At 41.1% G+C, this 24411-nt stretch overlaps 1 protein-coding gene across 2 annotated transcripts, besides 14 other annotated features; it reads left to right on the top strand.

Annotated features, from left to right (window-relative positions):
* Positions 76–235: a silencer, noted in NCBI's record as "silent region_7765". NCBI's record gives its function as "represses an Ori minimal core promoter by ATAC-STARR-seq in GM12878 lymphoblastoid cells {active_cell/tissue: GM12878}" and the evidence as "EXISTENCE:reporter gene assay evidence [ECO:0000049][PMID:35858748]".
* Positions 210–354: an enhancer, noted in NCBI's record as "145 bp 16:82203758 sequence used in MPRA reporter constructs". NCBI's record gives its function as "activates a minimal TATA-containing promoter with rs2303262 allelic activity by MPRAs in UACC903 melanoma cells {active_cell/tissue: UACC903}" and the evidence as "EXISTENCE:reporter gene assay evidence [ECO:0000049][PMID:36423637]".
* On the top strand, positions 211–22273 carry MPHOSPH6 (M-phase phosphoprotein 6). 2 transcript variants are annotated; one of them, XM_011522808.4, is made up of 6 exons: positions 211–310; positions 5495–5783; positions 6241–6353; positions 18921–19011; positions 21032–21126; positions 21572–22273. In XM_011522808.4, the coding sequence occupies exons 3-6, from the start codon at positions 6244–6246 to the stop codon at positions 21702–21704; spliced, it is 429 nt and encodes a 142-aa protein (XP_011521110.1). In that variant the 5' UTR covers positions 211–310; positions 5495–5783; positions 6241–6243; the 3' UTR covers positions 21705–22273. The 2 variants fall into 2 exon arrangements, with proteins under 2 accessions (XP_011521110.1, NP_005783.2); NM_005792.2 differs by lacking the exon at positions 5495–5783.
* Position 282: a transcriptional cis regulatory region, noted in NCBI's record as "rs2303262 or 16:82203758 MPRA-significant variant associated with a GWAS melanoma risk locus at 16q23.3". NCBI's record gives its function as "allelic transcriptional activity by MPRAs in UACC903 melanoma cells {active_cell/tissue: UACC903}" and the evidence as "EXISTENCE:reporter gene assay evidence [ECO:0000049][PMID:36423637]".
* Positions 4370–4514: an enhancer, noted in NCBI's record as "145 bp 16:82199598 sequence used in MPRA reporter constructs". NCBI's record gives its function as "activates a minimal TATA-containing promoter with rs67612167 allelic activity by MPRAs in C283T melanocytes {active_cell/tissue: C283T}" and the evidence as "EXISTENCE:reporter gene assay evidence [ECO:0000049][PMID:36423637]".
* Position 4442: a transcriptional cis regulatory region, noted in NCBI's record as "rs67612167 or 16:82199598 MPRA-significant variant associated with a GWAS melanoma risk locus at 16q23.3". NCBI's record gives its function as "allelic transcriptional activity by MPRAs in C283T melanocytes {active_cell/tissue: C283T}" and the evidence as "EXISTENCE:reporter gene assay evidence [ECO:0000049][PMID:36423637]".
* Positions 4507–4651: an enhancer, noted in NCBI's record as "145 bp 16:82199461 sequence used in MPRA reporter constructs". NCBI's record gives its function as "activates a minimal TATA-containing promoter with rs62044258 allelic activity by MPRAs in C283T melanocytes {active_cell/tissue: C283T}" and the evidence as "EXISTENCE:reporter gene assay evidence [ECO:0000049][PMID:36423637]".
* Position 4579: a transcriptional cis regulatory region, noted in NCBI's record as "rs62044258 or 16:82199461 MPRA-significant variant associated with a GWAS melanoma risk locus at 16q23.3". NCBI's record gives its function as "allelic transcriptional activity by MPRAs in C283T melanocytes {active_cell/tissue: C283T}" and the evidence as "EXISTENCE:reporter gene assay evidence [ECO:0000049][PMID:36423637]".
* Positions 7160–7304: an enhancer, noted in NCBI's record as "145 bp 16:82196808 sequence used in MPRA reporter constructs". NCBI's record gives its function as "activates a minimal TATA-containing promoter with rs12102917 allelic activity by MPRAs in C283T melanocytes {active_cell/tissue: C283T}" and the evidence as "EXISTENCE:reporter gene assay evidence [ECO:0000049][PMID:36423637]".
* Position 7232: a transcriptional cis regulatory region, noted in NCBI's record as "rs12102917 or 16:82196808 MPRA-significant variant associated with a GWAS melanoma risk locus at 16q23.3". NCBI's record gives its function as "allelic transcriptional activity by MPRAs in C283T melanocytes {active_cell/tissue: C283T}" and the evidence as "EXISTENCE:reporter gene assay evidence [ECO:0000049][PMID:36423637]".
* Positions 9563–9707: an enhancer, noted in NCBI's record as "145 bp 16:82194405 sequence used in MPRA reporter constructs". NCBI's record gives its function as "activates a minimal TATA-containing promoter with rs2967349 allelic activity by MPRAs in UACC903 melanoma cells {active_cell/tissue: UACC903}" and the evidence as "EXISTENCE:reporter gene assay evidence [ECO:0000049][PMID:36423637]".
* Position 9635: a transcriptional cis regulatory region, noted in NCBI's record as "rs2967349 or 16:82194405 MPRA-significant variant associated with a GWAS melanoma risk locus at 16q23.3". NCBI's record gives its function as "allelic transcriptional activity by MPRAs in UACC903 melanoma cells {active_cell/tissue: UACC903}" and the evidence as "EXISTENCE:reporter gene assay evidence [ECO:0000049][PMID:36423637]".
* Positions 17557–17851: an enhancer, noted in NCBI's record as "tiled region #8727; HepG2 Activating non-DNase unmatched - State 14:Gen5', and K562 Activating DNase unmatched - State 14:Gen5'". NCBI's record gives its function as "activates a minimal TATA promoter and a strong SV40 promoter by Sharpr-MPRA in HepG2 and K562 cells {active_cell/tissue: HepG2 | K562}" and the evidence as "EXISTENCE:reporter gene assay evidence [ECO:0000049][PMID:27701403]".
* Positions 18648–18792: an enhancer, noted in NCBI's record as "145 bp 16:82185320 sequence used in MPRA reporter constructs". NCBI's record gives its function as "activates a minimal TATA-containing promoter with rs7203990 allelic activity by MPRAs in C283T melanocytes {active_cell/tissue: C283T}" and the evidence as "EXISTENCE:reporter gene assay evidence [ECO:0000049][PMID:36423637]".
* Position 18720: a transcriptional cis regulatory region, noted in NCBI's record as "rs7203990 or 16:82185320 MPRA-significant variant associated with a GWAS melanoma risk locus at 16q23.3". NCBI's record gives its function as "allelic transcriptional activity by MPRAs in C283T melanocytes {active_cell/tissue: C283T}" and the evidence as "EXISTENCE:reporter gene assay evidence [ECO:0000049][PMID:36423637]".
* Positions 22274–24411: the final 2138 nt, after the last annotated feature.

Below are 24411 nucleotides of genomic sequence, written 5' to 3'. Positions count from 1 at the left end.
GGAAGCCAAGTTCTGGGTCGTCCTCTGACTTCGGCTTTTTTGCGGTCTGCCGCGCTCATCCCCGCGCCCGCCACCCCGCGAGCTTACCCGAGCCTCTCAGTCAGCAGAGCGCCCGCTGAGTGGCCGCGCCCGCGCGCAAGACACAGGGGAGGGGCGGGGCGGGGCGGCGCGCACTACGCGAGGGACGCAGCTGCGCACGCGGCTCCGCGCATGTGCGGTGAGGCTCGCGGCCGGAGTGCGGCGCTGGGCGGAAGCTACCATGGCGGCCGAGCGAAAGACAAGGTTGTCCAAGAATCTACTGCGCATGAAGGTGCGGGGACGCTGAGAGCGCCACTCCGGGCGGTAGGGGCACCCGGTCCTTCCAACCTGGCCGGGGCCGAGGCGGCGGGCGGACAAGGGACACCAGAGAGGCCTCAGAGGGCTTCCAGCTCTCGTGCTCATTCATTCACTTAGCGCCTGCTCTGCACTGTTTACTGGGAACCAGCTTACGAATTAGGCCGACTCTCTCAGGAGGCCCGCGGGCGGATGGGAGCTTGAGTACACAGAAGCAGTCAGGGTACAGCTTACCCAGTGCAGTGAGGGTAGAAGCGCTGGGGACCTTGGGGACTCACCGAGCTTCTCGAGAAGTTGTTGCTTACTTATATATGCAATAAATATGATATATGGGAAGTGTAACTCCTTAGCTGGGTAATTTAGGTAAATTCACTTCTTTCTCTGAATATCTCTTTTCCTCATCTTTAAAAAGAAGAGCATTAGGCTACATGAGTTCAAGCTCCTTTTTAATTTTGATAATACTTCTTTTAGTAGAGTTCTTCAGAGAAACAGAATCAACAAGATGTATATGTGTATATATGTGTATGGAGAGAGGGGGTATTTTTAAAACTGGATCACACGACTGTGGAGATGCAAGTCTAAAATCTGCAGGGTGGGCCAGTAGGCTGGAGACCCAGAGAAGTACTCAGTCCAAGTCCAAAGACAGTCTGCTGGCAGAACTCCCTCTTCTTCCAGGGAGAAGAGGGTGAGTCTCGCAGGGTAGTCTCTAGGTTACTGGGAGGGTGGAAGGCACAGCGTCCTAAACTAGGAGAAACTGAGTTCAGAAGTCTGAGAGGCAAGAAAGAAAAAGAAAACCATGGAAATTTCCAAGAATTAGAGACAATTCAGTATGTCTGGAAGGCAAGTACTAAGAAATGGGGTTGCAGAGTAGGCAATGGTCACAACGTGCAGGGAATTTGAGGCCAGATTAAAGATATTTTCCTTTATTTTGTGAGCAATGGAAAGCTATTGAAACGGGGAACAGTATCAAGAAAATGGCAAATATTTATAGTACTAGACAATGATTGAAGTGGTTTGCGTATATTAACCTATGCAATTCACATAATGACACTTTGAGGTGACTACAGGCAGTAACTCTCTTCTTACAGCTAAGGCAACTGAAACAGAAATAAGTAATTTACCCAAAGTTACACAGCTAATAAGTAGTGTAGACAGGACGGGAATTCAGGCAGTCTGGCTCCAGAACCCTGGCTCTTTATTACTACTCTGTACTCTGTGATGCCTGTCACTAAGCACTACTTCTAGAGAGTAGCAAACTGTTACATGTCATGTTTAAAGAGGTGGAATTTCCAAAAGAGGGAAGGAAGCATTCATAATGTTTTGAAAGATAGGCCATTCGCAGTGGCTCATGCCTGTAGTCCCAGCACTTTGAGAGGCTGAGGTAGACAAATCGCTTAAGCCCAGGTGTTTGAGACCATCCTGGGCAACATGGTGAAACCCCATCTCTACAAAAAATACAAAATATTAGCCAGGCCTAGTGGCACGCACCTTTAGTCCCAGCTACTTGGGAGGCTGAGGTGGGAGGATCACTTGAGCTTGGGAGATCAAGGCTGCAGTGAGCTGAGATGGCGCCACTGCACTCCAGCCTTGGTGACACAGGGAGACCCTGTCTCAAAAAAAAAAAAAAAAGAGAGAGAGTAAACATTATATGGGCAAGATTTGAATGGAGTTGAGCTAGGATGGAGTTAGGGATGAATGGGTGAATGAGGGTGGAGGACAAATTGCAGCATAACTTAGAGTTTGTCAAGCACTTTCATGCATATTAGCAAAATTTGAATCTTTACTGAACAGAGTTTGATTTTATGGTTGGTAATAACATTAACTTCAGAGAAGTGGAGTGAATTGGCCAAGCAGATATTGGAAAGATTTTAGCAGTTGTTTTAGCTCTTGGAATAAGCCAGATGATGTACTGGGTGACTCAGGCTCAAACTAAATATCCGAGTTGCAACTAAGAAGAAAGAAATTAACTTAAATGTCCACCCCCACCAAATGGGGAGACTCAACTGGACGTTGGAAGCAAAGGAGAAGGAAAAAGATCACCCACATTCTCTATTTGGTTTAGCAGCTTTGGTCATTGATAAGAAAAAACTTACTGGCAAGATAGCAGGAGACACTGTCTATACTGATAGAACAGAGTATACTGTGAGAAGGCATGGAGTAGCTGCACTTAGGGTGCCTTAACCAGAGCTAAGTCCTATATAGCATGGGTCCCCAACCGCCAGGCCATGGACCAGCACCAGTCCATGACCTGTAAGGAACAGGCTGCACAGCAGGAAGTGAGCAGCGGGCAGGCAAGCGAGCGAAACTTCATCTGTATTTACAGCTGTTCCCCATAGCTTGCATTACCACCTGAGCTCCGCCTCCTGTCAGATCAGTGGCAGAATCCTAGATTCTCCTAGGATCAGAAACCCTACTGTGAACTGTGCATATGAGGGATCTACCTTGCGCTCTACTTACGAGAATCTAATGCCTGATGATCTGTCATTGTCTCCCATCACACCCAGATGGGACTGTCTAGTTTCAGGAAAACAAGCTCAGGTCTTCCACTGATTCTTCATTGTGGTGAGTTGTATAATTATTTCATGACATATTATAATATAATAATAGAAACAAAGTGCACAATAAATGTAATGCACTTGAATCATCCCTAAACCATCTACCCTTCCCCTCTCCACCACCCGTGGAAAAATTGTCTTCCAGGAAGCCCATCCCTGGTGCCAAAAAGGTTGGGGACCACTTTTTAGGCAAGTATAAGAGGGTTGAGGATTTAATCCTGACTCACTTCAATGCCTCTGACTTGGTCAGCCATTGCAGGGTGATCCTAATGGGAAGAAGAAAAAGAAGGATGTGGATGGAAGGTCTTCCAGTATGGAATGGTTGTAGAGGGTGCTTATTTGTGATTTTGGCACTGTTAGACTCTCAGAACAGGGCTTGGCAAACTTTCTGTAAAGGACCATATGATAAATATTTTGGTCTTATGAGCCAGACAGTCTCTGTTACAACTACTCAGCTCTGCCAGTGTTGTTCAAGACCGAATGACCATGGTTGTGTACCAGTAAAACTTTATCGACGACAACAGACATCTAGCCTGAGGACTGTATTATGCTGATGCCTGCTCTGAGTCCTCACTAGTTTTGGAATGTGTTCTGAAATGCTCTAGAGTAGGAGAATCGAACTTGTACCTAAGTCTGGAGGTGCTTGATTCATATTCACAGGGAGTTCTGTCCTTTCTATGTGTACAGAACATATGTATATGGCTGTTGTATACCAAAAGAATAGGTACATGACTAAATGGGAGAAAAAAGGGCAGTTGGGCAGTATTGATGAGTTTTACCACGAGGAATATTAGTGATGAAATGAGGCATCTGCATTTAAAGAAAACCATCCCAGAAAGAGAATCTGGAAAAATAAGATAGGTCTAGGTTCATTTCCATTCAGAGAACTTTCACTGAGTGAGCTCTTTTGTGTACCAGGGGTGCCGCCTAAGTACCAATGATACAAGATGAACAAGAGTCATGGTCTATTCAGAATCGTAGTCCTGGGAGACACCAAAGCAGCACGATGGTGAACAATATTCCAGTGTTGATGAGGCTGTCTTGAGAATGTGCTTCTTTATAGGAGCAGACCTAGGAAGAGCCAAGCCAAATGCCAACCAGGAAGTCTTACCAAAGGACACACACTGTAGGCTTAAAAGAGTAAATATTTTGCCAGGCAGAAAATGGAAACGTGTTAAGTCGCAAAGGCAAAAGGACTGGGAAGTATAGCGTGCACATTCCAGAAACTGCAGTTCTTTCCTGGGATGAGGATGTACACACAGGTAAAATGGATGACGACTGCAAAACACTAGTCTGCAAACTTGTTTTCTTTTACTTTTTACTTAAAATAGTGATAGATTCACAGGAAGTTGCAAAAAGTGTACAGGGATATCCCGTGCGTCCTTCATGCCACCTCCCCTAGCGGCAACATTTTACAACACTAGGATATGATAAAGAGCCAGGACATTGACAGTGAGCTGACGCAGATTTCACCATTTTACACGCACTCATTTTGCGTGGACGGTTGCTGGGTCATATGGTAAGTGTATGTTTAGTTTGCTAAGAAACTGCCATGCTGTTTTCCACAGTGGCTGTACCATTTACTTTCCCACCAGCTATGTTTGAGTGATCAGTTTCTTCACATTCTCTTCAGCACTTGATGTTATCACCATCATGTGTTACTTAACACATGATTTAACAACAGGGATACGTTCTGAAACATGCATTGTTAGGTGATTTCATCATTGTGAGAGCATCATAGGGTTCATCTACGCAAACCTGGATGGTATAGCCTACCACACACTTAGGCTATATGGTACAGCCTGTTGTTCGTAGGCTGCAAACCTATACAGCATGCTACTGTACTGAATACTGTAGGCAGTTGTAACACAGTGGTGTCTGTGTATCTAAACATATCTAGATATAGAAAAGGTACAATAAAAATGCAGCATTGTAATCTTATGGGACCACTGTCATATATGGGTTCCATCGTCGACCAAACATCATTTTGCAGTGCATGACTATTTTATTCGTGAACGTTAAGGTTTTTTCATTTAACTTAGTAGTCATTGTTAAAGTGCTTATGCCTAAAAAGGCTTATGTTTGGAAAAGGTGGAATAGAAGGAGGAGAAATATGGGACCTGGGCCGGGCGCAGCGGCTCACACCTGTAATCCCAGCACTTTGGGAGGCCGAGGCGGGTGGATCACAAAGTCAGGAGTTTGAGACCAGCCTGGCCAAAGTGGTGAACCCCCGTCTCTACTAAAAACAGAAAAATTAGCTGGGTGTGGTGGCAGGCGCGTAATCTCAGCTACTCGAGAAGCTGAGGCAGGAGAACCTCTTGAACCTAGGAGGCAGAGGTTGCAGTGAGCTGAGATCGTGCCACTACACTCCAGCCTGGGCGACAGAGTGAGACTCTGTCTCAAAAAAAAAAAATAAAAAAAAAAATAAAAAAGAAATATCGGACCTGAATAAGGGAAAGAAATGGGGGATACATAGAAACCAGTGGAAGCTGAAACCTAACTGCTAGGAGGCTTCTGGGTATTTTCTGATTTTATTTTCTCCAGTGTTGATATTTTATCTTGTTGCTGTGGTTAGCCTCTTAAGTTTGTTCACTTGTTCCCTGAAGAAATACAGGTATTCATGCTAGTGAGAGACTGGCAGCAGGACTGTTATTTACTGCCATATTTTGAGTCAACTTTCTGCAGATTTGATAAGAGCAGCTCAAGAGTTTAGCAGCATTTCAGAGGAAAAATAAAAACGAAGAGCAGACTTATAGATGTACCTTTGCTTCTGCCTACATTTATCGGGCTCTTACTGTGCTTCAGTCATCATATTGGGACAGATGAAGGAGATGACCCAGACACCCAGTCCTTAAGGTCTCCAGAAAAGATAGATGCTCAGAAAGTTCAGATGTGGTGAGTCTATTGGAGGGAGCCATGGAAGCATTTAGGACAGAGGCACTGATTTTACTGGCACTCATAGAAGTCTAGTAGCTTTACCTATGTCAGACGGGCGAGGAGTTGGCCAGGTGGAAGAGGATAAGAAGGGCATTTCAACCCCAGATCAGCAGGTGCCAAAGCCAGTGGGCTCTGTGGGTGAGCACAAGACCTTCGAATGTGGTGTCTTAGCCCTTAAGTTTTCCGAAGGAAATATACATTGTGCATTTTCTCATGCCCTGACACAAGCCCTCATCGTCTAGTGTAAAGTTGGAAGGGTAGAGCTAAACCGTTTGATCACTTGCCCCAACCCTCAATCTTGAGATGGGTTCCATAGATAAATGAAGGAGAACAAGTAGAAGAAGAAAATTATTTGGGGTTTCCTCAGTTCTAAAATGGGAAAAGTTTCTGACATTGATTTTGTTTGTTTTCACAGTTTATGCAAAGGGGACTGGACTCAGAAACCAAGAAACAACTAGAAGAAGAAGAAAAGAAAATCATTAGTGAAGAGCACTGGTACTTGGATTTGCCAGAGCTTAAAGAGAAAGAGTAGGTTTATTAAAATTGATACTGATGATGCTTGTGGCATTCAGAAGGAAACTCCTGGTAAATTTAACTCATCATTCCGGTGACATAAAGCCCATGAAATTGTTTCTGTTCAGTTTATTGATTTAGTAGCACAACTAAAAAATATTAAACCTATAGAAGTTGTACATGGATTTATACATTTTTACTACTCCCCCTCCCAGCCACTATTTTGTCCTTTTTTACATTGAATGAAGGAACCTAGCCCACATATCTCTGATAGTAACAGCAGACCTTTGGGGAAGCTGTAATGTTCTCTCTATCACCTTAAGTTCTAAAGATTAGGGGTGTACTTCAGGTCTCTCCAGTTTTGTTTCGGTTACAGAGTTCATTAGGTTGAGCATTTTAAGGCAGGTCAGAAGTTTTTGTTTCTTCTTTTAAATTGTTACTACTTGTAATACCATCCATTTTAGCTAACATTTACTGAATCTATAGTGTGTACCAGGAACTGGGCTAAACACTTTACATCTGTAGTTATTGAATCTTCGTAGCAAACTTAGGAACTGCCTCCTATGATTCTGTCACTTTGTAGTTGAGGAACTGAGCTTAAGGGAGGGTAACTTGCCCAGCTTCACCCAGCTAGTCAGTGCTGAAGGCTGGGGTAGACAGTTTCTGGCCCACCCCTAAGCTTGGCTGGTGCCTGATCAACAATTTTGAATGAAGGAGTGTTGGATTTATTTCATCCATTAATTTAGCTGAATCCTTCTGGAAGCTATTTTTCATTTTTCCCTGATACTTTCCTCACCTTAGTAAGCTCTGTTGTATGGTAGTTTTACTTAAACTTTGGTCAAATGACTGAAGATGCTGCTTACTGTCTTGAGGCACATTTATGTGTTTCCATTCTGTACCTGATGTTTGGGCTTTGATTTGGAATGTTATATTCCCCTGTTCATTTGGCTGACCTCTGGACATTGTTTGAAGGTTAGATACCCTTCTCTAAAGATAGAAAGTATGTCCCACCAGGAGGGATCGGGAGAAGGTACTTTTTTTCTCTGCTTCTCAGAGGAAGCAAGATGTTGGTGAGGAGGGAGAAGATAGTGCCAGGGGCAGGGTCACAGGGAGGAAGGGACCTTTGCTGCTGGAGCTATAATTTACTTTTATGCCTTAAGTAAACTTGCCAAAGTGTTCCTTCCAGTTGTTTATTAAAGAGCAGGACTGTTTCTATCTTGTTTCCAGTATTTTTCCCCTAATACAGCATATTATTCCCAGAAAATGACCTTTACATTTCTTTCTGGGAAGGTAAATAATGCCTTTTTGCCATTACTCAGCATCCTGTTTATGTATAGGTGTGTATATCAGCTCAGGATGTTGGCAGGAGAAGATGACACTCTCAGACTGAGGAGAGACTATCAAGGTGTGGGTGGGGCATAGGGGGGCCCCTCGGGGCAGTGCAGCACCTCCTAGCATGTGTAGTGGGAGTGATTACCACCTGAGCTTGCAGAGTCAACGGGTGGGTGGGGAATAGCTGCTACCGAATCTGCAGATAAGTTGTGTAGAGAGAGCACCTTACAGGAGCTGCTACCTCCATTCACGGGTACGGCCAGCCCAAGGTCATCCTAGCAAGGGAGCCAGGTACCTGGCAGCAAAGGAGCCCTTCCGTGCATTACGTTCAAGTCAGCCTCCCAGGCCAGAGAAACAGGTGAAGACGGGAAGTAGGTCTGGAGGGGTGAATGGATGACATGTCCTTGGTATACGTGTTGTATTGAGTTGTTGTTTTTAACACTCTAAATAGGGAGATCATGGAATGGATTGGTTGATTAAGCACATGGGCTCTGAAGTCAGGCAGACCTGGGTTTGATGCCCAGCTCCGCCAGTTGTTTACTTGTCACCTTGGGTGAGTTACTTAACCTGTTTTGTGTCATTTGTGTATTGGGTATGATGATAGTACCTGTCCAGTACATTCCGAGAAGTAGATGAGGTAATATATGTAAAACAGTCACCATAACACCAGGCATAAAGCACAGTGATTGTCACCATTGTGTGTATTTCCTTATATCTGAATATATGAAGTACACCCATTCCTTTCTACTCACTTATGTTTGTGTATCCTTTTTTGCTAGTGTTGTCTTAACTATTCTGTGAATTTGGAGATTGCATGTGTCTGTGCTCTGAAAGTCTCGACTTTCCCATTTTTAATGTCAGCCGTATCAGTCTGTAATTCAGTGAAGATAATTAGGGCTATTCAGTGTTAACACTGCCTCACAGGGGACACTTTTAGCCAGTGGCTAGACCATGTAGGGGAATGATGATCTAGCTGCTGTGCCTCAACTTGGAACAACTGAAGGGCATTCCTGACTCCAGAGCTCTCATATGTGGCTGAGGCCTTAGTGTAGCCACATTGCCCATTATCTTCTCCCTCTGCCCAATCCTTCTTTCTCTGTTTTCCTAGAAGGGCATCTGCTGAACAACACTGCCTGCTAAGTTTTCTGCATATATGTCTGTCTCAGAGTCTGTTTCCAGGGAACCCGATATAGTGTGAATTCCTAGGAGTGAAATTTACCAGATGAAAGATTTTGCTATCTATTGCCTTATTGTTTTTTTCCCCAAGGATATGGTCCAGAAAGAGTGTGCAAGTATAGGCAGTTTAATTCCTCCTTTGCCGTAGCAAGTTGTTTAAGAAGTATTTTTGGCTATTGTACATCTTATACTTGTGTTTTGTGGTCTGTTTGGAGTCAGAAGCTATAGGGACCTGAAACTAACAAGTTAGCCTGCCACACTTTCACTGATGCTGGTGGAAGATAGGAACCTTCTGGGTCTGAGATGTAGGGGAGGGACAATAGCCTTTCCTTCCACCCATTTGAAGTTCATTAGTTGGGGTCCCTGTAACAAAAGACAGATTAACAAAGAGAAAGGTATACACTTTTATTTCACAAAAGTTTTAGGTGACACAGGAGCCTTCATAAGAAAATGAATACCGAAGAACTGGTTGAACCTGAGTGTTTTTATGTTAGCTTTGATGAAGAGTGGAAAGTTGTGAAGAAATATGATGGGAGCAAGGGGTATGAACGAAGAGTAATAAGCCAGGAGAAACTTAGCAAGTCTTTTGTTCAGATTCCTCTCTCTGTCCCTTCTTCTGAGATAAGGATGTTGCTTTCCTCTGAGTGTAGGGAGGGCACCTCTTATGTGAGATGCTTTTATGACCTGCTTCAGGGGACAGTCAGAAAATCCTACCTGCACGTCATTTTTCAGATTCCTCCAGTGTAAAATTTTCAGTATGCCAAGATGCCATATTTTGGGAGTAGTGTCTCCTGAACACCATCAGAAACAAAGGACTTACTGTACAGCAAGCAGCACAAGCATCAAGTTTGCGTCATTTCTCTTTTGTCCCCAACTCCTATGAGGGATGGCGTGAAGTGGCCCAGGTGGATGCTGTGCACCCAGTGGATTTGCATCATAGCTGAGATCTCCTGAGCTTAGAAAACTGGAACCTTGGATAACGGACCACAAGCAGACTTGCCTTCGGCCCCAAGAGAGGCATCTGTATTATGCTGGACAGTAAGCAAATCTGCCCTTCGCTTTAGAGGAAGACTGTTTTTCAAGGCTGCTCGCTATGCAGATATCCTTGCAAAGATAGTCCAGAGCAACCGGGCAGTTAGTGCCTCACTCAAAAAATGTGCAGGAATGTGAGACCCACTGAGAAGGGTTTTCTAACTGGAGTTTTGCCATGGTATTTGTGGCTTTAGGCAAGTCCAGCTTTTTCTGAGCAGTAGTTTCTCATCTGCGAAATTTATGAAATAATTTTGTGGGTGTGTTTTAGCCTGAAAATTATCCTCATTAATGAAAATTGGATAATTAAAATACAAAAAGAGGTAAGTTTTGAAATATTTCACTTGCTTGCCAACTCTGTAATTAATTTTTCTAATTCTTAAAACCATGCATGTAGATACAAAACACCTGTGCTCCTTTTTATATTAAAGATACGGTGTCAATGCAAACCCGTGGGAAAAACCTCTGAGGGGCCAGTAGTCCTGCTCTGAATCCAGTCCTGACCTCTGGAGGTTGTCTTTCTCTGGGTCCCTCCTTTGCCTTAAGTGAAAGCTTTGATGTATGGTGCTTTCCTGAGAGAGATGATTTACTTTGGAATTGAGGAGGTCTCATCAGCTGCTCCCTCTATAAGGAATAAGATTGGGCAATTGAGAGGGAATCCCAAGTTCATAGAAAAAGCTGAACAGCAAGTTCTGTGCCCAAATTTAGATTCCCTCAGGGAGAGGCGGTTCTGAAGTAAGTGAGTTTCTAGCCAGACTAGAGGGCCAGTGAGAGAGGAACCAAAATCACAGTGGTTCTCAGAGTTTTGGAACTCAGAAGCTATTTGCATTTATAAAAATTATTTAGAACTCCTAGGCCGGGCACGGTGGCTCACACCTGTAATCCCAGCACTTTGGGAGGCCGAGGCAGGCGGATCACGACGTCAGGAGATCGAGACCATCATGGTTAACATGGTGAAACCCCGTCTCTACTAAAAATACAAAAAAAATTAGCCAGGCATGATGGCGTGTGCCTGTAGTCCCAGCTTCTCAGGAGGCTGAGGCAGGAGAATCACTGGAATCCAGGAGGCGGAGGTTGCATTGAGCCGAGATTGCGCTACTGCACTCCAGCCTGGGCAACAGAATGAGACTCCATCTCAAAAAAAAAAATTTATTTAGAACACCTAAAGAGTGTTTTGTGTGATTTATATTTGTTAATATTTACTATGTAAGAAATTTTAAAAATTATTTAAATAACAAATTCATTACCTAACACATTTTTAATGACAAATAACTTTTTCAAGACAAAAAATTTAACGAGAAGAGTGGCACTGTTTTCTGTTTTTGCAAATCTCTTTAACATTGTGGCATAATAGAAGACAGCTAGACTCTGAACGCCTGCAGTCAGCCTGTTAAAGCATGTTGTATTGGTTGAAGTATATAAAGAAAATCCCCCTCACACAGGTGATACAGTTGAAAAGAGAGGAGTATCTCAATGGCCTTTTCAGATAATTCTTTGGTACAACTCCAAAACTCAGTCAGTAGTAGTTTCTTCAGAGTAAATTGCAACGTGGAATCTGAAAACACCAGTGAATTTTTCATGTCTTGGTCTGTCTTGTATTCCAAATAGATCTTTTACCTGTATATGATTTCTTAACATCCTGCATCTGTCATTTGGAAAATGAGTTGTATAGATTTTCCCAGTGTTAACTCATCTTGTTATACAATATCAAAAATCACATTCATTAGTATCACCGTGGGTTTCAACAGAAAAGTCTTTTAAGTGTTGGGAAGCTATCAAGCCCAAGATGACAGATAAAAGCTATTCGGAATTCTAACTTTTGCTTGAAAGCTTGAATTTTGTTATTGGCAGTAAATAGTGTCAGTTATTCCCCTTGAAGTGTCAGGTTCACTTTATTTATTTTCAAGAAAATGTCTGCCAAAGAACCCAAACCCGCAAAACCATAGTTACGGTGTGACATTGAAAAAAAGTGTCTAATTCATCTCTCGGTTCAGTCACACAAGTGCAGTTAGATTATTTGACTATGATGAAGTATCTTTTTTTTTTTTTTTTTTTTTTTTTGAGACGGAGTCTCGCTCTGTCACCCAGGCTGGAGTGCAGTGGCGAGATCTCCGCTCACTGCAAACTCCACCTCCCGGGTTCACACCATTCTGCTGCCTCAGCCTCCAATGTAGCTGGAACTACAGGCACCCGCCGCTATGCCCAGCCAATTTTTTTTTTTTTTTGTATTTTTTTAGTAGAGACAGGGTTTCATCGTATTAGCCAGGATGATCTCAATTTCCTGACCTCGTGATCCTCCTGCTTCGGCCTCCCAAACTGCTGGGATTACAGGTGTGAGCCACTGCGCCCGGCTAAGAAGTATCTTATATATAGAGTTTCAATTTCGTATACCGAATATTTTTTAAAGTAATTGAGGGCTAAGATTAACAGAAATAAATTTGTGCTGTGTCATCAAGAACATTCTAATGTGAAACTGGCATTTTTCTTTGAACTGTGAGGGCCTGGCAGTGAAGAATGTAACTACCAGGGTAGTCTGGTATCACTGCTGCTTTCACTCATGCTAAGATTCGTTTTACCCAGAGTTGCTTTTGCACAGTCTGCAAATGTCAACACAGTAAAAGATGACATCTTAATGTTATCATGCAAGTAACTCTGACCTCCTGCTACTACTCTGCATTGTCTCCATTCCAACTGCAGGGGCTTTATGTTTCTCAGGCAGGTTAGATTCCCTTCTCAGGGCCCCCACTTATGGGGACTTCAGGTGTTCTTCACCTGGGCATCCTCATATCTTGCTTCCTCACTGCCTCCTGGTCCTTGCTCAGATGTCACCCCTGACAAGAGGCCTATCCAGACCACTCTTTTAAAAGACGCCTCTCCTCTAGTCTGCCCTCAGTATCTCCCCTTAAACTGTGTGCACGTGTGGGTGTGTGGGTGGTGGTTGCATTCAGTGGAATGTACTTAAGTCTACAGCTGTATGTGTTTTGATAGTGCATGCATCTTTGTAAACCATACTCCTATCAAGGAAACATTTCCATCATCACGTAAAGATCTTCATCCCTCTTTCTAGTCAGTCTCACTCCTGCTCTGATGCAAGCACTGTTCTGATTTCTTAAACCGTAGATTAATTTTGTCTGTTCTTGAACTTCATAAAAAAGGAATTGTGCAATATGTGCTTAACTGTGTCAGCAAAATGTTTTGGATATTCATCCTTGTTTTGGAACATCAGTAATTTGTTTCTGTTGCTAAGTGGTATTTCATTTTACAGATACACCACGGTATATCTATTCATTCTTCTATTAATGGACATTAATAGAGAAGTGTTATAACACTTTCACTAAGGAAGTATGAGAGTTCAACATTTGGAGTTAGATATCTTTTTAATTTTATTCTAGTGGCATCTCATTGTGGTTTTTAATTAGCATTTTCCTGATGACTAATAATGTTAAAGAACTCATGATTGGGTTGTTTCCAGTTTTTTATTTTTTTATTTTTATTTATTTATTTTTTTTGAAATGGAGTCTCGCTCTGTTGCCCAAGCTACAGTGCACTGGCGCAACCGCGGCTCACTGCAGCCTGCTTCCCAGGTTCAAGCGGTTCTCCTGCCTCAGCCTCCGGAGTAGCTGGGATTACAGGCGTGCACCACCATGCCCGGCTAATTTTATTTTTAATAGAGACCATGTTGGCCAGGCTGGTCTTGAACTCCTGATCTCAGGTGATCGCTGGCCTCGGATACCCAAAGTGCTGGGATTACAGGTATGAGGCACCACACCCAGCCTGTTTTTTTACGCTTATGGATAAAGCTGGTATGACATTCATACTCAAGTTTTGTTTTGTTATGTTTTCATTTCTTTTGTAACTGTGGAATTGTACTTTAACAGAAATTTTCAGACTAGTTTGTTCTATGATTTTACACTTTCACTAAGGAAGTGTGAGAGTCCAACATTTGGAGTTATGTATCTTTTTACTTTTAACTATTTTAGTGGCATCTTATTATGGTTTTTAATTTGCATTTTCCTGATGACATAATGTTGAAGAACTTCTTCCTTTTTGGCCATTTCCATATCTACCTTTGTGAAGTGCCTTTTCAAATATTTTGGCCATTTTAAAAATTGAGAAAGTTTTGTTTTTGTTTTGTTTTTTTAAATATTTTATATCACATATTTGTTCATCCCCCATCCAGCCATCAGTTTATTGTATTTTTGATGCAGTAAGTTGCAGACATCAGTATATTTCTTTCTGAAATATTGCAGCATGCACATCATTAACTCAAGCTCAGTGTTTCTAGGGTTTTTTTGAGACAAAACTTACATACATCTGTGCATGTAGGAGTTATTTATGTTCTGAATACAAGTTCTTTGCCACATATATATATAGTGAATATTTTCTTCTAGCCTGTTAATGTTGTCTTTTGATGAGTTTCTATTTTATCAATTTTTTCTTTTATGGTTAATTCCTTATGACTCTCGTCTAATGAATCATTGGCTATGCCAAGATGGTAAGATATTTTCTGTTTTCTTCTAGAAATTTTGTAGTTATAGTGCTGACATTTTTATCCATGGTTTGCCTCTAACTTTTTGTGTACAGCATGAGGTAGAAATCAAAGGACATGTCTTTCATAGATAACCTGTGATCCTATTAACTTTTTTTTTTTTTTTGAGACAGAGTGTCACTCTGTCACCCAGGCTGGAGTGCAGTGGCGCAATCTTGGCTCACCGCAACCTCCACCTCCCGGGTTCAGGCGATTCTCCTGCCCCAGCCTCCTGAGTAGCTGAGATTACAGGTGCTGCCCCACCACACCCGGCTAATTTTTGTATTTTTAGTAGAGACACTGTTTCTCCGTGTTGGCCAGGCTGATCTTGAACTCCTGACCTCAAGTGATCTGCCCACCTTGGCCTCCCAAAGTGCTGGGATTACAGGCATGAGCCACTGCACCTATTAACATTTATTGAAAAAATTTTCTTTGCTTATTGCATTGTTTATCTCTAAGTCTGTCATAGTTTTATATATCATAAATAGAGTTTTTTCAAACTTATTTGTTGTGTGTATGTATGGGGTGGAGGGGTGTGTAGAAATTGAAGGTTGTACGTTGACTTCGTATTCTGTAATGCTAAATTGACTCACTGACAAGTAGTTTTTTTGTGGATTCCTTAAGATTGTTTACATGCATAATTATGTCATCTGCAAAAAAAGACAGTTATACATTTTATCTCCTCTTGTTGATTTATTTCATGGCTAAGGACCCAATACAGTATTGAATAGAAACGACAAGAGTAGTCCTTGAATTGTTTCTGATCACAGTTGGGAAAGCATTTACTTTCTCTCTATTACACATGAAGTGCTGTTTTCGTCAATGCCCCTGATCAGTGGTCAGAGATACTCCTTTATTTTCGTAGTTTGCTGAGGGTTTTCATCATAAATGATGTTGAATTTTGTCAAATAATTTCTTATGAGAAGATCATGATTTTTATTTTGTTAATGTGTTGAAAACTATTGACTTTTGAATATCAGAACAGCCTTGTATTTCTGACATACACTCTACTTGGTCTTCATATGTAACATTTAAAATTTTTAAATTCAATTTGCTGACATTTTATTGATGATTTTCACATCTATATTTAAAAAAGATATTAGACTGTAGAGTTATTGTAATGTCTTTGGTTTTGGCCATAAAATGAGTTGGAAAGTGTTCCTACCTCCTCTTCTTAGTTCTTGGTTTGTGTAAAATTGAAATTATTTCTTCCTTAAATGCTTGGTGAAATTCACCAGTGAAGCCATCTGGATCTGAAGCTTTCTCTGTGAAAAGATTTTTAGTAATGAATTCCATTTATTTGATAGATATAGGACTGATCCAGTTTTTCACTGCAGTTTTTTTTTCAGTTATATAATTTATTTTTTTAAATTGTTTTTTCCCTTAATTATATAAGTTCTATTGGTGTTTTTTTGCAGTCTCTATTTCTTAATTCAGGCTTTCTGTTTCTTTCTTCATTGCATGCATGTTTTCGTTTAAATCCTTGAATAAATTTACAGTAACTATTCTAAAGTCCATTTCTACTAATTTCATTTTCAGTTGTTTTCTTTCTTTCTATGAGGGGATTACATTTTCTTGCTTCCTTGCATGTCTAGGAATTTTTTATTGTGTGCTGTACATTTGTATGTATTACATTGCTGACTACCTGGATTTTGTTATTTTTCTTAATAGAGTGTTGAATTTTGTTTCATTAGGCAGTTGACTTACATGCCAATCAGCTTGATTTTGTTAGGGTGTGTTTTGTAGCTAAATTGTCTCTACTCCTAAGGTGTGGCCTTTCTACTAAATATCACAGAGTGTTTAGCTTGTTCTCTCCTCTCTGGCTAGGCAGAACTCAAACATTTCCTTGCTCTGTGCAAGCTCTGTTATTTCTTCAACATGCAATTGCAGGGTAAATTTTTTTTCCCCAGGTATGGTAGGCTGGAAAATGGTCTCCCAGATAATATCTAGGTTTTCATCTCTGAAACCTGTGAGTGTTACCTTATGTGGCAAAATTTACCTTGCTGGTATATGAGTAAATTACAGATCTTTAGATGAGAGATTATCCTGGATTATCTGGGTGGGCCCTAAATGTAATCACTTTTCCTTATAAGGAGGAGAGGTGAGGAAGATTTGACACACAGAAGGCCTTGTAACCGTGGAAGCTTCTGGAGGGATCCCAGGCCTACTAACATCTGGATTTTGTACAGAACTGTAGGAGCATAAATTCTGTTGCTCTAAGCCACCAATTTTGTCAGCTTAAATTTGTTACAGCAGCCACAGGAAGCTAATGCAGCAGGTGTTCTCCCAGAAATCATCTCTCCAGCAGTTACTTTTTCCCTAAGTCTAAAGACTCATCCTGCACATGTGCAGCTTCATGGTCAGCCAAAGATTCAAGGGAACCCAGTATGCAGGTCCTGAATTCCATAGTGTAGCTCCCTTTCAGTGGTATCCTCACCCAGATATTCCAGCCACCACCATAACCCCAAACTTCAGTTTGTGCCTTTATTTTTTTCAACTAAAGCCCCAATGAAACAGTTTGTCTCTTAAGCTCAGCAAGACAGGGTTTTGTGTGAGTCCCCCACTCCCTGCTCCACAATCTGGAAATTGCCTCCAGGCAGAAAGCTCCGCATTCATGGGGTCTACTTCATTTGATTTTCTTCTCTCAGGCATCACAGTCATATGCTTGGATTTGTTCATTATCTGAAAATGGTCATTTTATATTTTGTCCTGTTTTATATAATTATGGTGCAGGAAAGCTAGTTCCATACCAATTACTCCCCTACAGCTAGGGATGGAATAACCTGCTTTATTTTCATCCATTGTGTGATATAAATGTTTCATGTTTCATTCATTATTTGGCCCCTCTTTCTATAGACTGTAACCTCCAGGAGAGCAGAGGCTCCTTTTTTTTCTTTTTTTTTGGAGGTGAGTGTTTGACACTGTCACCCAGGCTGGAGTGCAGTGGCACAATCTTGACTCATTGCAACTTCCACTTCTGGGATGCGAGCAGTTCTCCTGCCTCAGCCACCTGAGTAACTGGGACTACAGGCATCCGCCACTGTGCCCAGCTGAGGCTCTTTTACTGGTGGCTGTTTCCGCAGTTTGATTTAATACACACAGTTTGGTTTAATAAGTGTTTGTTGCATAAGGGAATCTTTATGAGAATCAGAGCCTACTCCGGCAAACAAGCCTTAAAAGCCACATGTTTGCTTTCCTGCCATGCTTTAGGGTTTATGGCCAGGCTGGAGATAGATATGTCACCTTGGATTTACGGTCATGTGGTGGTGACTCAGCAGAGAAATTCTGCTGCAGACAGAAACATCCTGGTCCAGGGAACGCAACCTGCCCCAATGCCATCAGTGGTGTCGTGCTCAGCCCCGTCAGCAGCAACAGTGGTTTTCCTAGGGTCATTCTCTAGCATGATTTTGGTTCTGGTGCAACCACCTAGCGACCGTTATTTCTGCCCGTCTTCCAATTCTGCCCCTTCAGCCTTCCCGGTGATTCTGAGATGCCCAGTACAGCTGGCTCTTTGTGTCACAGATTTTGATATCTACAAGGGGTCCTGGAACCAGTCCCCCTTGGAAATGAAGAGCCTACAGTGTTCTTACAGTAAATTCCTTCTCTGCTGAAGTCATCCAGGGTCAGCCTTTGGTGTTTATAGCTAAGAGCTCTGACTGATAACACTGTTAAAGCTGCTCAAGCCTCTGATTTCCCACTACTTCTCCTGGATTTGTAATAAGAATTTGGTGGGGGCCAAAATCTCAGAAGTCACCACTAAAGAACTTATCCATGTAACCAAAAAACCACCTGTTCCCCAAAAACTATTGAAATTTTTTGAAAAAAATCTGTGTATAAGTGCACCACACAGCTCAGACCTGTGTTCAAGAATCAACGTAAATGCAAGTACAAAAAAGACTGGAAGGAAATATTCAAATATACTAACAGTCCTTTTTATCCTCTTGGTAAGGAGCTTACAGGCAGTTTATAAACTCATACTTTATTCTGCTTTCCAAATTACGTTCCTTAAAATGTGCTGCTTTGATAATTAGAGAATGGAATTTTTGAAATCCCTGAGAACGAAAGACAAAATATGCCAGAAACTTTATTAAAATGATTTGGAGTAGTGTGTCACTGTATACTGTATGTGTATTTTTACATACATATTATTTCCTTTCTGAAAAAGAATTGGAAAAAAATATGGTGAGGGGATGTAAACACAAAAGAAACTTTGCTTCAACTTTGGCAAATTCAAGTTTATTGTCAATACTTTAGATCTTTATATTATGTAGATATTTATGCAAATTAAATGTGGTGTTTAAGAGAGGCTGTGCCTCTAGCTTGCTGCTCTTGTCTCCTAATGCCTTTGCTGACCAAATTAATCAGATTTTATTTTTAACCCTAAGTTAGAAATCTTACTGTATTTTTACTTCATTCTACTGAGAACCATAGGTTGATTATTTTTTTTATTCAAAGTGTTGGCTTTTGTTTGCTGTGCTTTATATATGGAGAAATGCTATTTTTATTTTCCCATTTAGGAGTTTCATAATAGAAGAGCAGAGTTTCTTACTATGTGAAGATCTTCTCTATGGAAGAATGTCATTCAGAGGATTTAATCCTGAGGTTGAGGTATTAAATATAATTGCTTCAAATTAAAAATTTTTCCAATTGAATTTTTTTCTGCTAATAATTGGGCTTAGGTGTTTCTCCACCAGGTACCATTTCTACTCATTATATAGAAAATAACAAGTCTTGAAATATCGCCATAGCTATTTAAAGAAATTGGAGGCATTGCAGTCTAGTTTTATGGTAGAGGTGAGTAGATAATTTCATATAGCAGTATACAGCCCTTGACAGAGCCACCATAAATATTAAAATTTCAAGTTGTGTCTTTTACAGGAACGTCAAGATTTTATTCATATCATGCTATTATGAAAAGTTATTTTCTGGCACCTATACATGTATTTTTTCTAACGGAAAAATGTTACTTTAGAATTATGTCATTTGACTTTTTAATGGACTGTTGTAATCCAAGCTTGTAAGTAGATTTTTAAATGAATCCTTTCGACAGTTTGTTTGAAAAATGAATATTTGCCTTATAACTGAGCTATTCATTTGAATTTTCCTGCTCCAGGATAGAGAAGCAGACCTTTATTTAACAAATATTCATTAGAACTCTGGCTCATATGTTAAAAGCCATCCTATCAAGTACTTGATGAACCAAATGGACACATGAGATATAAATCTTTAGTTTGGTAAATATTACTTGAAGCCAGTGTTTCTTGCCCTTGGCAGTGTTAACATTTGGGGCCAGATAATTCTTTGTGGTGGTGGCTTTCCTAAGAGAATGACGAACCACATCCCTGTCCTCTGTTCTCTACCAACTAAATATCAGTAGCACACACACACCCCACCCTCCTACCCAGCTGTGACAACCAAAAATGTTTCCAGACATTTTCACAGGTTCCCTGGTGGGGAAAATCATCCCCAGTTAAGAACCACTTCTCTAGGAGCCACAGTTAACTAAGCCAATTGCCAGAGTTTATTGAAAGATTCTAGGTTAGTTTTCCTTTTCTTTTTTGGCGGAGTGGGAGGAGGCATGTGTGATAATTAAGGTGTTATGTTAGAAGTGTTTGTTTTTAATATATGCTGGTCTCGCTTTGACTTTCTTTAATTAAGCTTCAGATTGAGAAGGAGAGGGGCTGGGCAGTGGGGTGAAGAGGGAAGAAAAAGGCAGGGATTATGAAGATGTGGTATTCAAAGAGTAGGGTTTGGATAGGCGAGCATTCCAAAGTATGTCTGCTGCAATGGGAAAGGAGAGGTGCCACTGCCCGCAGAAATTGATGGGGGGCAGGGACGGGTGTTAGAAAATGGCCCTAATTACTGGATTCTGAAACACTGAATACACTCCCCCTAGGAAAAGGTTTTAAACTATTATCACTCTTTTAAGCCTTAGAAAAACTAGTTAAGACTGATTTCTCATCTTTTATTCCTTCTCCTCTTGCTAAAAAGAAGAGATTACACATTTAAAAAAAAAAAGGTCAGAGGATAATTATCACAAAAAGGTTTATGTGAAAGAGTTGGAGGAGAGACCCTGTGGTGCATGGATGTTACATGGGATGCATTATCCACTCTAAAGTTTAGGAGGGTAAGGCTGAGGTGCAGATTCCCTCCATTAAACAGGGCCAGCCTTCCACTTCTCCCACCTCCTCCACTCACCACCACCACCACCAAGAGATGCATTTAAAATTATTACTGACGACTAGTGTTTCTTCCATATGGCTTAAAGATGGGTGGGGGAAGTTCAGGGAAAATCTGAAAGTTTATTATTTCTTCCCCCACTCACCGGAATGTGTCAGCAGTATGCCTGCTTTAAATATGAGTAACTAATACTAAGATTTATGATCTTAAATACACTTTAAATTCACCCTAAGTATAATTCAGTGGGGCTTTGCCTTACTATTTTTTTGACTCAGAGCTTACTTCTCTTACACCATTGTGGTATCAAGTATTACAGAGAGTCCCTTATCAATTTTGACTAGTTCTCTAGATTATTTGACTTCAGTTTCTCTGCCTTCAGGTAAGTTTGACATCAGTTCCTTTCACAAGCGTTTTCTAGCCTGAAGGTCAGCACTGGTGTATTTTTCAGAAATTGATGCTTCAGATGAATGCTAAGCACAAAGCAGAAGAAGTTGAAGATGAAACAGTAGAGCTTGATGTGTCAGATGAAGAGATGGCTAGAAGGTAACCGTGCTGCGCAGCAGCCTTCTAATCTGGACCTAGCATTCATTGGCTCTCCCAGGAATGCTCCTCTTACCCCACAGTGCACGGCAGCTTTCAAGGGAGTCCCCCAGTAGGACGATGACTGTGATCGGCCTTCTCTTAATGGCCTACGGGGGCCACAGACCTGTCTCAGGCTGCCAGTTGAGGGCCCATTTCCAGAGCTGCTGGAAATGTGTATTTTAAAATGTACATCTCTATTTATTTAGGGTAATGCAAACACCAAAATGGCAAGGAATTTAATCACTCTTAGAGAAGTTCATAAATTGTTAAATCAGATGGTTTCTTTTAATGATAGTTTTCTTTTTCGTAATCTTTTTTATTGCATATTTGGTCTGATATTCTTGACAAGGCTTGATCCCTACCTTTTTATTTGAAATTAAACGTGTGCTGCCTGTCCTCTTGACAGATATGAGACCTTGGTGGGGACAATTGGGAAAAAGTTTGCCAGAAAGAGAGACCATGCCAATTATGAAGAAGATGAAAATGGAGACATAACACCAATTAAAGCAAAGAAGATGTTCTTAAAGCCCCAGGATTAAGATGGATGCCTTAAGCGATGGCCCAGGGGTGCTTGGTGGAAGTCAGCAGGGCATCTGGAGCTCATCCCAATGGTGTCTCTATAGTTATTAATACTGTAACGTTTACTTGTAAAGAGATTATCATTTTAGAAACATGCTGTTTTTGAAACAGATGTGTGATGGATGTTGTACATCCTTTGCTTCTTGGTATTCATTCAGAGTGGATTTTTAGCCCCTGATCTACAAATGTACATTGTTACAGGGCTGCTTCCTAAAGATTTTTTTTACCTCAGGTTTCTCTTAATATAGTTCTCCAGTCACTGACCTTGAATTGACTTACATAAACTACTGCCAATGTTTAAATTGCCCTTATGTTTATATTTATTATGTCAAGCCAATTCGTACATACAATTTGGAATCAAATGTCATAAGAATTTATTATATAAATTTATCAAGAATAAAAATGCCTCTCCAGCCTTAAGTATTTACATGCTCCCAGGTCATTGTCAGTTTATGGTATTATGTTGTTTTATTTAAAGCATTGAATTGATAGAAAAATTTGCTCTGTAATAAAAATCTACTTTCACATACTTTTTATATTTTCTTGTACTTTCAAATAACAATTTTAGTCTAATTCAGTAATATAACTTTTTTCCAAATAATAACTTTAAAAAACAGCCATTGATCAGAATATAGTGATGTATTAGGTTGAACCATAAGAAATTGCCTTTTACAGGTCAAAAATAACCTTTAGTTTCTTACGGTATAACCCAACAGAATTTACCACTGACCAATGGTACCATCTCCTAGTCTGAACTCTATTCTAAATGCTAAGTACAGAAAGAAGCACATAGAATTAAGTGTGTGTATGTGTGTCTGTCTTTCTGTCTGCAGATAAGTACCTAGGACTTCTGAGAACTACTGATTTAATTTCGCTCCCAGGAAGTGAATGAGGTACATGTCTCCTCTCTCCTCAAATCTCTGTAAGGAAGGTTTTATTGCTCTGTGACCTCAGTTCTCTGGTGAGTTATGAGAAAAGATAGGACTTTGAAGTTAATCTGGCCTTTTTTTTTTTTTTCACTGTGAGTATGAGAATGATGCACCTCCCAACTCTGGGAAGTAACGAGTTCTTCCCAGTGCCTTACCAGCACCACAATCCACGGACTTACTACCGGACTTACTACGTGTCTTATGTACCTGTCTGCACAGTCGACTTCTGATTGACAAACTCATTTCACCATAAAAGAAGTGGGGTAATGGGGGCTTATGCCTCTTGAGTGCACTGGTCTTAGCATATCCCCCATCACCCAGGAATAGCGGGCATAATAGGACGATGGAATGGTCTGCTGAAGACACATTTATGGCCCTAGGTGGAATACAACTCCATCTGACAAATGTAACGTGTGCTTTGATTGAGTGACCACTCCATGGGACTGTTCTTGGTCAGAATGCACGGTCTGGAATCAAGCAGAGGTAGATGGAGTGGTCCCACTCATGGGTGATTTGTTTCCTGCTTCTCTTGAGTTCCCAAGGGAGGAGTGCTCCCGCTAGGGGACACAACAATGGCTCCATTGAGACAGGAATTGAGACTATCCAGTCATTTCAGCACTGAACCAACGGGCTGGAGGTTACTGTTTTGGCTGGTGCAAGTGATCCTGGCAACAAAGGGGCATTTATGTCGTTCCTACACAGTGGATGGTGAGAAAGGCATCTGGAACCCAAGGATTCTCTAGGGCATTTTTAGCACTTCCCATGTATGCCACTAACTTCTAAGGGACAGCTATAACAGTCTCAAAGAGGGGAATGATTGAGGTCCTTTAGGGAATGATGTTTTGGTACACCCCACCCCGTATAAATCCTGAGAAGCTGAGCTACTGGCTGAGGGAAGAGGAACCATGGGATGTGTAAGGAAAGAAGGAAATTTATTATTTCAGCCTTATGACTAGCCAGTTACAGAAACAAGTTACTGCAACTGTTACATGGAGGGTTGGCACTCCATATCAGTGAGTTCCAGATATCGACTTGACTAACCACAGAAAGTACTCAAAAAATAAAAATACAATAAAAAATAATATAAAGTACAATACAGTATGACAACTACATAGCATTGACATTGTATTAGGCATCATAAATCATCTAGAGGTAGTCTAAGGGATACAGGAGGATGCACGTAAGTTATATGCAAACATGCTGTCTAAGGTAAGGGGTTTGAGCATCTGTGGATTTTGGTATCTGCAGGAGGTCCTGGAACCAGTCCTTGGATACCCAGGGATGACTGTTTTCTTCTGCGTGTGTGTGTGTGTGTGTGTGTGTGTGTATGTGTGTGTACTAATTTCTTCTCTTACCTCCTTATTTTGTTTTCTTAGGGCGTTAATTTCGCTATTTAGTCGTAGGGTAAGAATATTAGGTGGGTTTGTGATTAATTTTAGGTGTAATTAACTGATAGAATGTCTGCTGGGACTTTGTGTCTCCTCATTTTGGAGAAAGGCTGAGGGTATCTTGTACAAAGGATGTTTGCAGTGTATTCGGTAGAAACAGTTGTTTTCCTTGTTGCAGGAAGTTTAGGTTAGAAGTCTGTGGATGCTAAATGGCCGAAAGGGCAGGTTGTGGCAGATTCAAAGCTGTTGCTTCACAGAATCAAACTCACCCTCTGTATTCAGCTTTTAGTGCCGGGCTGGGACTGAGCAAACCCCATGTCTCCTATGCAGCTGACTTAATTAGGATCAGC

Source organism: Homo sapiens, chromosome 16 (genome assembly GCF_000001405.40).
Source record: "Homo sapiens chromosome 16, GRCh38.p14 Primary Assembly".
NCBI classification, from domain to species: Eukaryota; Metazoa; Chordata; class Mammalia; order Primates; family Hominidae; genus Homo; species Homo sapiens.
This window is presented reverse-complemented; position numbering and strand designations above follow the sequence as displayed.

Excerpts from the sequence above, each read along its gene's own strand:
- MPHOSPH6 (NM_005792.2), top strand. The coding sequence starts at position 260 with ATGGCGGCCGAGCGAAAGACAAGGTTGTCCAAGAATCTACTGCGCATG. Across the intron at positions 311-6,240 it reads AGAATCTACTGCGCATGAAG|TTTATGCAAAGGGGACTGGA; the intron begins GTGCGGGGACGC and ends TTGTTTTCACAG. Across the intron at positions 19,012-21,031 it reads GATTTAATCCTGAGGTTGAG|AAATTGATGCTTCAGATGAA; the intron begins GTATTAAATATA and ends TGTATTTTTCAG.